At 39.9% G+C, this 13,222-nt stretch overlaps 1 protein-coding gene across 6 annotated transcripts in view; it reads left to right on the forward strand.

The window, feature by feature from the left end:
- The window catches only part of ZNF407 (zinc finger protein 407), a 467,802-nt gene that overhangs the window by 7,459 nt on the left and 447,121 nt on the right, over positions 1–13,222 (forward strand). The gene's annotated exons all lie outside the window — the stretch shown is intronic.

The raw sequence follows: 13,222 nt of genomic DNA on the forward strand, positions 1-13,222 counted from the left end.
TCTCTTCATCTCTCTGAGCCTCAGTAACTTCACTATGAAATGCGTATTATCTTGTAGCTTTTGTGTGAGTGCTAATTGGTGGAATGTGGATAAGTCTTCATCCAGGAGCTGACAAAGCCAGCCCTCACTCTGTTATAGCTGTTATCCAGCAGTGGTCAGAACAGTACTGCCCATGCCATGAATTAAGCACATAGCATAATACGGAGTTTGAAAAAAATAAAAAATTAAAAAATCAAAAAATCATAGGAAGTTTGTTTCCTCATACATAGCAGTTAAGGTTTTCTGTCCAGCACAGCAGTTGTTACCCTGAATCGTCAAGAAAATATGAAATTATATTCTATATACATGTTAAGAAAGTAGGGAATTATATAACTTTTTATAGGATTTCTATGAAAACCACATTTTTTTAAACTTAAAAAATTAACTTTATTATGAACCCAGTAAGATATAATTGTGGGACACACATTGGTATACTAGAAAGGTACGTCATTAACTAGCCAAACCAGCAAAAACCCAGCCCACGTCTGTGTGTGTTAGTGTTGGACTAGTGTGACAAGCAAGGAGATTCTAGTTCCTGGACCGTCGGTGGAGACTGCGGTCCTTGGGTTCTTCATCAGAGCTTTTCCTGACTTCCTAAGCCCGATGAAATTACCTGCAGAATAATATGTTTCTGTGAACTTTTGGAGAGGAAAGAGGCCATGGTTTCACGCCAAAGCGCCCTAACCCTTCAGATTGTCAGGGATCACTAGCGGCGGGCCTGGGCCTGGGCTTGATGTGGACATGAAGAGCTTTTCCAGAAAATAAATGAGAGCAGTTTAAGGAAACAGGTGAAAAACTTCTGGGAGATCATTTTTGTATTTAATAGCTACATGGTGATCTTAAAAATAAAATTTGGAAATCTGCTATGTGAAAAAAATGCAGCAATTGATTTGTAATGAGTTTCAGGTTGAAGCTCATCATGTGTGTAATGCTGAATTCTATCTGGAAAGGTGCTTTTTAGAACTATTATGAAGAAAATCTGGAAAGAACCAGTTTCTTATGACATAATGGAGATACCTACATTTATATATTTTTCAAAAAATATATTTTAAATATATTTTGAGTAGATACGGGGTCTTGCCCAGGCTGATCTCGAGCTCCTGGACTCAAGCAATGTCTCCTGCCTCAGCCTCCCAAAGTGCTGGGATTATAGGTGTGAGCCACTGCACCCAGCCTAGATCTAAACATGTAAAAATTCTTTGATTTTCATACTTGTTTTATTTCTTGTGATGTCATCACACATATTCTTTATGTGACGACACAGAGCACAGTCCTGAACTGTGGTGGAGTTTATTATGTCGGCACACCTGAGGAGACATTTGAGTGTCAGTTTTCTTGGAATTTTTGGAATTATTTCAAAGTAGACTTGATATAGAATTAAATAGGAGAAATGGTTAAATTAGAGTTTAGATGGCGTTAGCTAAAGCAAAGTAAATGCAATTTTATTTAAAATAGAAGAAATAATTTTAGATATATCCGGTGTAATTCAGAGACTAGTTGATGAGGAAATTTTACTTATTTCACTTTGATGAAAGAGAGAAACATCTGGTGAAATACTAGGGGTGGTCTTTTCACTTTCAGGCCTTAGAGGAATGACTGCTACCGTAGGGTTATCACCTTTTAGAGGGAATGAGGATTGTGGCAACCCTATTCCGACTCCTCATCGTCTACTAGGAAAGCTGTGCCCTACAGGAGGCAGGTGTTTCGTCAGTCTCAGAGATTAGTTGTAGAACAAGGATTAGAAGCAGGCCTCTTGATTCATGGCTGGTCTTTTTGCTCCTCCATTGGTGGTTCTCAATCCTAATGTGTATCGGAGTCACCCAGAGGGTTTGGGCATCAACCAGAAACTGGCTCAGCAGGCCAGGGCTGGGGCTCAAGAATCTGCATTTCTCACAGGTTCCCGGGGTGACTTTGCAGCTGCCAGTCCTGAGACCACACTTCTGTAGCCTCAGCATCACCTGATGTGGCGTTGATCTCTCAGGCCGCTTGTAAGAGGAGATTAAGTAAACCTTCCCAGGTTTATACCAGACTAACCTTTTCCCTAGTACTCGGATAATCTAGTTCTTTAATTTTATGTTAGAAAAAAGAAATGCACATAGTGATTAGATGGGGGAAAAAAAAAAAGAAATGGAGTATTTCTCACAGAGTCACTGTGGCATTTTCAGTCGTAAATTTGGAGCTAATTCTGTTTGTCACGACCACTGGCCATTGACGGGGCTGGGTTTGTGCTGTGAGGCCCAGTCTTAGCAACGTTTTCTGTGAAAGGGTGTCCAGATTGATTGCTAGAGTGTATAGGAGTGAAAAATTAGTTCTGGTTTTGTGACTCTGTACTTTTCTTTGTTATTTTGTGTACTTAAATAATCCCTTCTTATATATAAAAATCTCATCAGGCCCTAGCACACTTACATGCACATAGTAGATGACAAATAAATGAGTTGAAATGGATTAAAAGAGTAAGGGGGAAATAACATAGGTCATTTATCTGGAAAGACTTCAGTGCCCTGGAGAGTTACTCTGTTCTCTAGAGTATCCCAATCACAGGCTCTTCCTGAACAATTGTAATTTATTTATTCCAGCTTAATCCTTATTTGTAGTTATTGAACATTTTTAGCACAGAAGTTAGAGATAGCATATTTTTATGTTAGAGTCAATAATCCCTCCCTTTTGTCTTTTTATCTTTCATCTGAAATGACTTTTTAAAACTTTCTACTTTGAAATAATTTTAGAAAAAAGAATTGCAAAAATAGTCTAGAAAGTTCCTATGTATATACCTTTTGGCCAGCATCTCCTGTTGTTCTCATGTATCCATAATACAATCATTGAAACCAGGCAATTGGTAACAATTAATCTAAAACATTTATTTGAATTTAACCAATGGTTCCATTGATATCCTTTTTTTCTGGTCCAGGATCCAACCCAGTATCCCACATTGTATTTTGTTATGTCTCCTTGGTCTCTCCAGTCTGTGATAGTGTTCTTTTAGATTTCTTTTTTTTTTGGAAACAGAGTCTTGCTCTGTCACTCAGGCTGGAGTGCAGTGGCTCATCTCGGCTCACTGCAGTTTCCGCCTCCTGGTTCAAGCGATTCTTCTGCCTCGGCCTCCTGAGTTGCTGGGATTACAGGAGTGCACCACCACATCCGGCTAATTTTTGTGTTTTTGGTAGATACGTGGTTTCTCCATGTTGGCCAGGCGGGTCTTGAACTCCTAACCTCAAGTGATCCGCCTGCCTTGGCCTCTCAAAGTGCTGGGATTACAGGTGTAAGCCACCGCGCCTGGCCAGTTCCTTTAGATTGCTTTGTCTTTCATGACTTTGATACTTTTGAAGAATACTGGCCAGTTATTTTGTAGAATGTCCCTCAGTTTGGATTTGTCTGATGCTCTTTCTTGTTAAATTGAGGTTTAGGCATTTTTGGTGGGAATACTAGCACAGGGGTGAAATCATGTCCTTCTCAGTGCATCATATGAGGAGGTATGTGATATAGATATGTCTTCTTCTGGTGAACGTGAACTTTGATCTCTTGGTTGAGGTGATGACGTGTCAGGTTTTTGTACTGTGAGGTTAAACATTTTTTTCTTTGTGATTAATGACTCATTTTTTTTTTGATTTTGGTGCAGAAAGTTTGAAACAAATGAACATAATATCAGAATCTTTTGAGTTTGACTTTAACTGTGGGGTATTTCATATCTTGAGAAGGTTTGTTATTATTTATTAGAACCAAACATAGCAGGGGAGAGGTAAAGGCTTAAGCTGTTGGAAGTACATGCATTTGCTGATCTCCGTCAATCAATCAGTATTGAATTGGCAGCCGAGGAAGCTGTCCAGTTCTTTTGCTGTGGTTCTGCACTCTGTCTCACATTTGTCTTCCAGTGAATGACTTTCCCTACCTGTGCAGGGGGGATACATTCTTGAGAAATGCCTCTAGGTGATTTCATTGTTGTGTGAACATCACAGAGTATACAAACCTAGATGGTGCAGCCTGCTACACACCTGGGCTATATGGTGTGGTCTACCGCTCCTAGGCAACAAACCCATATAGCATGTTACTGTACTGAATGCTGTAGGCAATTGTAACTCAATGGTAAGTATTTTGTGTATCTAAATCTATCCAAACATAGAAAAGGTGCAGTAAAAATATGGTATAAAAGATAAAAAAAAGGTATACTTGTTTAGAGCACTTACCATGATGGAGCTTGTGGGACTGGAAGTTGCTCTGGGTGAGTCAGTGAGTGAGTGGTGAGAGAATGCGAAGGCCTAGGAGATTACACTTTTGTATAACTGGCAGTGTAGTAGGTTTGCTTACACCAGCATCACCACAAACGTGAGAAATGTGTTGTACTAAGACATTACAACAGCTAAATGATGTCACTAGGCAATAGGAATGTTTCAGCTCCGTTGTAATGATAGGGAACCATCATCATGTATGTGGTCCATTGTTGACCAAAACATCATTAGGTAGTGCATGACTGTGTTTCAGTTCATCAGAGGGTAGTCACCCTAAGTATCCTGTGGCTTATCCATTTGGTGGTTCCTAGAGCTGGGTAGGTATGTTTTATTTGTAGATCATGTGGATGACATTGCTGTATATATTATATATGCTTTATATAATATAAATTGTCTCTATTCTCAAAACACATATGCCTTTATTGTCCCAACCGGAGCACATTGGAAGAAACATATTGGATATATCCTTCACAGGCTTGTAAGCTTCTTGGAGGCAGGGAACAAGTCTCTTTTTGTTTTCCAGTGACTTGCTTGGGACCTGCAATACACAAGCCACTCATAAATATTTGATGAATAAATGAATACTATACGTGCATTTTGTTAGCTGCTTTTGCAAGTTACCAGAATTTTGTGAAATCTTTTCACATGATTGTGGAGCTGTGTAATCTAACAGTATTCAAGTAGATGGATTGCCACATTAGCTTTACTTTTAACCATCCCCCATTGTTGGATAGTAGGTTGTTTCCAGTTTTTCTCTACAGTTCATGGTGAACATCCTGAAACCCACATTTCCCCTCTCCCTCTCGGTCTCTCTTGTGCGTGCATGCGTGCAAGCAGCTTACCCTCCAGATAGGTAATTACCCATTTAGGTAATTACCATTTGAGGACGTTCGTTTTCCTGTACTTTCCCAATGCTTAACTCTTTAGTTTTTTAGAATAGGACTTAAATATTTTGGGACTTTTTTTTGTTTTATTTTGTTGAGAAGTCTCGTTCTTGTCCCCCAGGCTTGAGTGCAATGGCTCATCTCGGCTCACTGCAACCTCCGCCTCCCTGGCCCAAACAATTCTGCTGCCTCTGCCTCCCAAGCAGCTGGGATTAAGGTGCCCACTACCACACCGGGCTAATTTCTGCTTTTTTTTTAAGTAGAGATGGGGGTTTCACCATGTTGGCCAGGCTGGTCTCGAACCCCTCACCTCAGGTGATCCGCCCACCTCAGCCTCCCGAAGTGCTGATATTACAGGCATGAGCCACCACGCCCAGCCTATTTTGGGACATTTTTAAGGTTTCTTCCTGGGGTGTAGTAAGTGGGGATCATAGTCTGACTACAGTTTGCAAATAACCTTCCAAATGTTCATGTGAAATTTTCCAATTTTTTGTCTCAATGAGAGAGCAGAATAAACCTCAATGAAGTAATGGTTAACACCTAATGAATATTCCATCACTTTTGATATCCTCTCTAAAGTTACATGTGGTCCTTACCAAACAGGAAACTTCCTGAGGGTGGGGTATGTTTTTAATTCACATTACTCACAAAAATCAACCGCAGGTCAATTAAAGGCTTAAATATAGAAGGCAAAACTATGAAACTTTCAGAAGGCAATGCAGGACAGTAGTTGTATGACTCTGGTATAGGAAAGGGGTCTTAAAAAGATCACAGAGGGTGCAGACCATAAAGGAAAAGATCAATATGTTTGACAACACTAATGTTGATATAGCTTTTGTTTATTAAGAGAAACCATCAAGAAAGTGAACAGACAGGTCATAGGGAGAATAGACATATTCAGCACATATTACTAATAAAAGGTTAGTATCCAGCAGGGTGACTACAAATCAGTAAGAACAACAGAAAAGGGGACAAATGACCTAAGTAGGCATTTCACAGAAGAGGAAACTTGAATGCAAAAATGCTCAACTTCATTAGTAATTAGGGAAATGCAAATTAGGACCAAAATGATGTATAGTTTCTTACACATTAGATTGGCAACAATGTAAAAAGTCTGACAATATTGTTGGGAGGACAGGAAACAACTGGAATGCTTATATACAGCTGGTGGAAGTGATAGGCTGCCTTTGGGAGTATCTAGTAAAGTTGAGATACCTGTATCCTTTGACCCAGTAATTCCACTCAGTCTTTATCTTGGAGCAGTGGTTTCTGAATTGTTTCGCAGCATCATTTGGGAACTTGTTTGAAATGCAGATCTGGGGTCTCTGCTGTGGACCTACTGAATCAGCAACTTTAAGGATGGGCCAGGTTTCTGACTGTCAAGCCCTGTAGGGAATGTGATGCTAAAATATGAAAGGTATTACCCTAGAGAAACTCATGCGCATGAGTGCCTGGAGACATGTGCAAGGATGCTCACAGTCACGCTCTTTGTAAGAGGAAAGACTGGGAGCAATGTCCATCAGAGGAGAACAGATGCCTGCATTGTATCATATTCCCATAGTGAAGTCCCGTACAGTAGTGAGATTGAGTGAATGTTAGCTGCATTCATCACCAAGGATAATACGCAGCTGGAACATAATCTCAAGGGGGAAAAAAGCTACTTGTAGAAGAATACACAGTTTTTTCCCTTTTTTTAAAGTTTAGAAACATGCAAAAACAAAATTGTAGATTGTTAGAAATATGGATATGATAAAGTAATAAAGAAAAACAAGTGATACATGCAAGACTCAAGTCGGTGGATAACTGTATAAGAAGGAAGGTGATGGGAACACAGAGGGACAAATTATCAGAGATAATTTGTTTTTCTTGAAGTATTATCTGCACTCAGGATTTTGTTATATTTTGCACAACACCTTTACACATATTAAAAGTTTTTTGTATATACCAAATATCTCAAAAACAAACATGATTTTTTATTTTGCATACTCTACGTAGGGACTTTTCTGTTTGTGTGAAAAAGATTTGATGGAGATGGAGAGACAGGTTCTTGGAGGAATGTGATAGAACTTAACTCTTCAGTTGACCTCCTGTAAAGACTCAGGTGTAGAGATATGAAAAAGAAGACTGGATTCGATGATAATTATTAATACTTACTGAGCACCTACTGTGTGCCAGGCACTGATATGAACACGTGACATACCGAGTTTATATGCCATTAAATGAATGAAGATTGCATCTTGCAGTGACTCTGTGGGGTAGGCGTTATTAATAAGTGTTATCCTTGCTTTGCGGAAGAGGCACCTTGCCCATGGGCACAGAGAGATCAGGCACAGAAGGGAGTCTGACTGAGTCACTGCCATGCAGGGTCAGAGGAAGAAGACAAGCTTAGGCAAAAATAGTATGTCTGAGAGAGACAGAGGGAAGAAAACAAAAATCAAGGCAGAAATGGGAGTGTGGAAGAAGACTGGTAAATGTTTATTTACGTCCTTTTTTAAAAATCTTAGTAAGTTTTTTTTAAACTAGCATACATGACTTTATCATTCTAGGAGATTACTAGCCCTTAAAAGTATAAGAAGTAGTTAATCACATTTTGATTTTAGTTCTTGAATATTGAGTCTAAGTGACTTCTAAGGAGTGCATCTTTCAGTTCATTAGAAAGTGGTAGTGTCCTCCCACAAGATTCTGGAAATCATACTTCTTTGCTTAGGCAATTTCTTGCTAAAAAGCAGGGGCACATTTGGGGAATCAACGTTTGCCTATTTTTTCTAACCTTTTATAACTTTGTTTTCTTTTGTCATATTTATCTTATATTATGGGACTTTTTCTTAGATCAGTGTTGCTTCTACTGTAAACCTTAAGCCATCATATTATAGTCACTCCTTGAACTTAACATGTATAGGAAAAACAAAAAGATGACTCTAGAAGTCAAATTACCTCTCCTGTGAAGCCAAACAGCACTGCTGTTTTTCTTTGATACTGAGTGCTGAAATTGTCAAAACCATGAGAACTGTCAAGCATTTGTAGTTATGTAATGTCATGCTTTCTAGTAGAATCGGCACCTCACTTAGAAGTTGACAGCCCATGAGACTCCTTCTGTGGCAAGGATGCCTGCATTTCAGACACATGTAGTACTTGTAGGAGATCCCTTATGGGGAAATACAGAACATAGGTTTCTTAAACAGATTTGAGGCACTTTAGCTCTTCTAGTTTCAGTTACATTTTGCTAAATTTAGCAAATCCAAATTTTAATTCTCAGTGCTTTTTGGTGTGTTTGATGTTCATACTTCTCTTTAATTTTCCTTTTTATGCTGTGCTTTTCTCCCCCATTAAACAAATCCACATAGTTGTTTTAAAGAAAAACAAATAAGGTAATAAGAAGCCTAATAGGGAAAAGAATTGTTTAACATAGTTGGAGTAATGCCAGTCTAACCATCAAATGTAACCAAAGCCCAGCAGGCTTTACAGTTATTGAATATAATGGCAACTTCATGTTTTAGACCTAGAACAAACAACAGACTTTTTCTTTGGGAGTGTGTAATTCACTTGTGATTTCTGCTGGTCATGAATTATGGATCAGAGTTTGATATATGATTATTGGATCACTTATAAAATGAGGAATAGCAGTTACAGGAGTGCATGTTAATTTGAAATATAATTTTAAAACCATTATAATTCAATGGTTACTACTAAGGTAGTAATGTACTTTTAAAAATAGCTTAGAAAGAAAAGTAAGTAGAAATTACAGTTTCCAAAAAGGGGATCAAATAATTTTTATTAAGAATCTTCAGGGTACAAAATCTGATTTTCAATATGGGTGGTGTTCTACTGTATTTCACTGTAACAACCTAGGATTTCAAGATGGTAGGTCAGAGCTATGTTTGCTAAAAGTGGCATTCAGAATAATTTTATGTGGCAAATTATGATGGAGGTCAATGTGTTTGGAGTCCCTGTGTGACAGCCGTATTACGTACAGTGCATGCATGCTTTTTCCTGATTCACTTATCACTTCCCACACTCTCCTTTTCTTCACCTCAGCACTGTGTCTGGTAAATTTGCATTCAGTGGATATTCGTTTTTTTTTGAAGAGTTATGAGAGATTTTAGTCCAGTGGTTCCCAAAACTGGCTCATCAGAATCATCCAGGGAATTCTTTAAAAGTACAGATTTTTTGTCCCTATCCCAAACTTTCTTAATCAGAATCTTTGACGAGTAAGACCTAGAGATTTCATATTTTTGATGATTAGCTAGATTTATAAATGATTGGCATTGTCTGTAATTCTCTTGTTTTACAAATGTGGAAGTAATAGCACTAGGGATGCTTTTCCAGTTGCATTTCTGAGAAAAAGGTTTTCATAAGTCTTGTAAAGGCTAAAAGCCTTCATGAATGGCAGAATGACAAGCAACATGATCATTTTTGGAATGATGTGTGGCAGAGATGGCTAGCTCTCCACCCACTTCATTTCTTCCCTTTGCACAATTCCAGGTTATGTTTTGCAGACTCCCTTGCAGCTAAGCAGATATGAGTGGAAGTGATAGATGCCACTTAAGCATCAAGGCTTTTAAGGGGCCATGAGCCAGCTGCCTCTTCCATGCTTACTTTCTTCTGTCAGCTGGATGCAGGGAATGAGAAAGCTCAAAGACAGAGCTTCAAGGTGGAAGGAGCCAGGATCTCTAGATCACAGCCTGGAGCAGAATGTTTGCTGACCAGGAATACCTGCCTTTTCAAGAGTGAGATAAAAACTTTTATCACAGGCTGGGCGCGGTGGCTTACGCCTGTAATCCCAGCACTTTGGGAGGCCGAGGTGGGCAGATCACGAGGTCAAGAGATCGAGACCATCCTGGCCAACATAGTGAAACTCCATCTCTACTAAAAATACAAAAATTAGCTGCTTGTGGTGGCGCACGCCTGTAGTCCCAGCTACTCGGGAGGCTGAGACAGGAGAATTGCTTGAACCCGGGGGGCAGAGGTTGCAGTGAGCCAAGATCATGCCACTGCACTCCAGCCTGGCGACAGAGTGAGACTCCGTCTTAAAAAAACTTTTATCACGTTTGAGCTGTTTTAAAGTTAACATATTCTAGCAGTTGTAAGTGAGGGCATTAAATTCTTGTTGGGTTGGTTCTAGCACTGTATCCAAATCTAAAAGGAATGGCAGATTATGGATTTGAAGAAAATTTATATTCTGCAGTTTTCCTTCTCCACATATAACATTTCTGTTTTCTGTTCTTCATGATTTAGAAGAGTAATATTACAGTTAGGACATTTTATGAGACTGCAATATTTGCTTAGTCCCATAGTCTGAAGGGGGCCACTGTTCATGTGTGAAAATAAGTAATTGAAGACTTGTGATCCCATCTGTGAAAGGTTGCCAGCAATGGGGAAAGAACTGTTGTTGTTGTTTTTTTTTTTAAGATGGAGTTTCATTCTTTTTGTCCGGGCTGGAGTGCAATGGCATGATCTCGGCTCACTGCAGCTTCCGCCTCCCGGGTTCAAGTGATTTTCCTGCCTCAGCCTCCCTAGTAGCTGGGATTACAGGCATGAGCCACCAAGCCCAGCCCCTATTATAGTTTTAATTGTTTACATTTTAATGGGACAGGAGGAACAGTTATCTTTTGTCAATGGGTGATTGTTACTGGTGAATTCAGCATACATTAACCAGTTTTGCCAGTAATGGGAAAAAACCCCATGCACTTCTTTCATACGTGACATTCTGTTTGTATCTGTCACCCAGGACTCTGTTTTAAGACTGGTATGGGCACCACAGTGGACAGGAATTGACAGAAAGATTCAAGTGGCAAAGGAGTTTGAAACTTCTTAGTACAGAGACATAGCTGTACTAGGAAAGGTATAATTTTCAGTAAACCTTCAGTTGAAGATAAAGCTTTTTGGATTCTTGGATGTCTTCATGGTGACTAAGAACTGCTAAGTGGAGTAAAGGTTTTGTCAGGTCTAAGAAAACCTTTGTCGTTTTTATGGAGGTTTATATTCTTTTGACCCTTCTGACAGTTTCTAGAGATGTTGTAGAGGTCTTTGTAAGTCACATGTACAAAACCAGCCCACTCCCTCCACCCCTGTACCCGCATTCTGATTGTTGTTTTTTCACTTTTTATTTGGAAGTGATTTGAAATTTATTAAAAAAATGCACAAACAAAACTAGAAAATGTTTCTAGGACACCTGTATAACCTTCATCCTGAGTCATCTGTTGCAATGTTTACCCATTTGCTTTGTTGTTTCCTCTCACTCTTGCTCATTCATGTCCACGCTCTCTTGCCTACCACACACATCCATATCCACACACCACACACATCCATATCCACGCACCATACACATCCATATCCACACACCACACGCATCCATATCCACGCACCACACGCATCCATATCCACACACCACACGCATCCATATCCACACACCACACACATCCATATCCACACACATCCATATCCACGCACCATACACATCCATATCCACACACCACACGCATCCATATCCACGCACCACACACATCCATATCCACGCACCACACGCATCCATATCCACACACCACACATATCCATATCCACACAGCACACACATCCATATCCACACACATCCATATCCACACACATCCATATCCATGCACCAACACATCCATATCCACACACCACACACATCCATATCCACACACCACACACATCCATATCCACGCACCACACACATCCATATCCACACACATCGACACACTTTACTTTTTCTCCTGAACCACTGAGAGTCATTTAAATGCATTGTGACCCTTTACCCATAAACACTCAGTCTGTATCATCTAAGAATAGGGATTTTTCTCTTACGTGACTGTGGTGCTATTTTCAGTTTTATAAATTTACGTTGGTGCTTTTTATCAGTTGGCCTAAAATGTCCTCAATAGCATTTTCCTCCTGCCAGCACAGGGTCCAGTCTGAGAACAGGCACTGCAATTCATGTATCTTTAGCCTTCTTTAATCAGGAATATTTTTGTATGAAGCCTTTCTTTATATACTTTTATAAAGCCTTTCTCTGTCTTTTATGACATTTTTGAAGACTGCAGTTCCCTCCACCTTTTTTCTTTCCTCTTTAAACAATACATTCCTCTTTTTGTATTGTCCACTGTTTCCTCTTCATTAGCTGGAGGTTTTGTTGGCTGCAGTAATGACCAGGTGATGTCATGCCCTTCTCAGGGGGTCACGTCTGGAGACACACTGTGTCCATCTGCTCTTCATTGAGGATGTTGATTTTGATCATACAGGCAAGGTGTTGCCAGTTTATCCACTGGACAGTTACTGAGATTGTTTTTCCCTTGTAACTAATAAGCAGGTTATGGGGAGATGCTTTAACACCATGCAGACATTTGGCTGCAAATCTAAAACGCCCCCCCTAGATTTGGTATTCCTTGATGATTCTTGCTTGATATGGTCTTTGCCAGTATGCTTTTCTATCTCCAGCACTCCCTCCATTTTTACCAGTTGCCCCTCAGCCTTCTGCTACAAACAGAGCCATCCTTTTGCTCCTCTCTCCCCACTCCTCTCTCCGTCCATCTCTCCATCTGCCTGTCTATCATTCAGTCATTGAACTGGGCTTACTCATTCCTACTTGTAATGGTTTAATGGGACCGCATTATTTGGGTGCTCCAATTGTCCGAGATTTGGTCAGGGGAAGCCCCTTCAAGCTGGCTCCTGTGTCTTTGTGCTTTCTTTTTTTTCTTTAAAGCATTTCCCTACTTTCTGCCGTAAGATGCTCCAAGCTTACCTTGTGCCAACCTTGCCCCAGACCTGGAATCAGCCATTTCTTGAGACTCCCAGTGGGCTTTCAGTTGGGCATAGTACTAAAGACCAAGTTCTCCATGCCGGGTGTGCTCCTTGTTAACTGGCCATCCTTTCTGCAACTTCCCAGTCACCCATTCTTGAGTATTTAATGTGAGGTCCAGCGAACCATAGGTAACTTTCTTGGTGCAGATGAGTGTTTGACCAAATTTGAATCCCAAGTGTCTCTGACTGTTAAAACAAGTCACCTTCTGATGTTCATTTGTGGAGTTCTGATTCTGAGTTTAGTCTGAGGGCCTCAAT

This window comes from Homo sapiens, chromosome 18 (genome assembly GCF_000001405.40).
Source record: "Homo sapiens chromosome 18, GRCh38.p14 Primary Assembly".
Classification (NCBI taxonomy): Eukaryota; Metazoa; Chordata; class Mammalia; order Primates; family Hominidae; genus Homo; species Homo sapiens.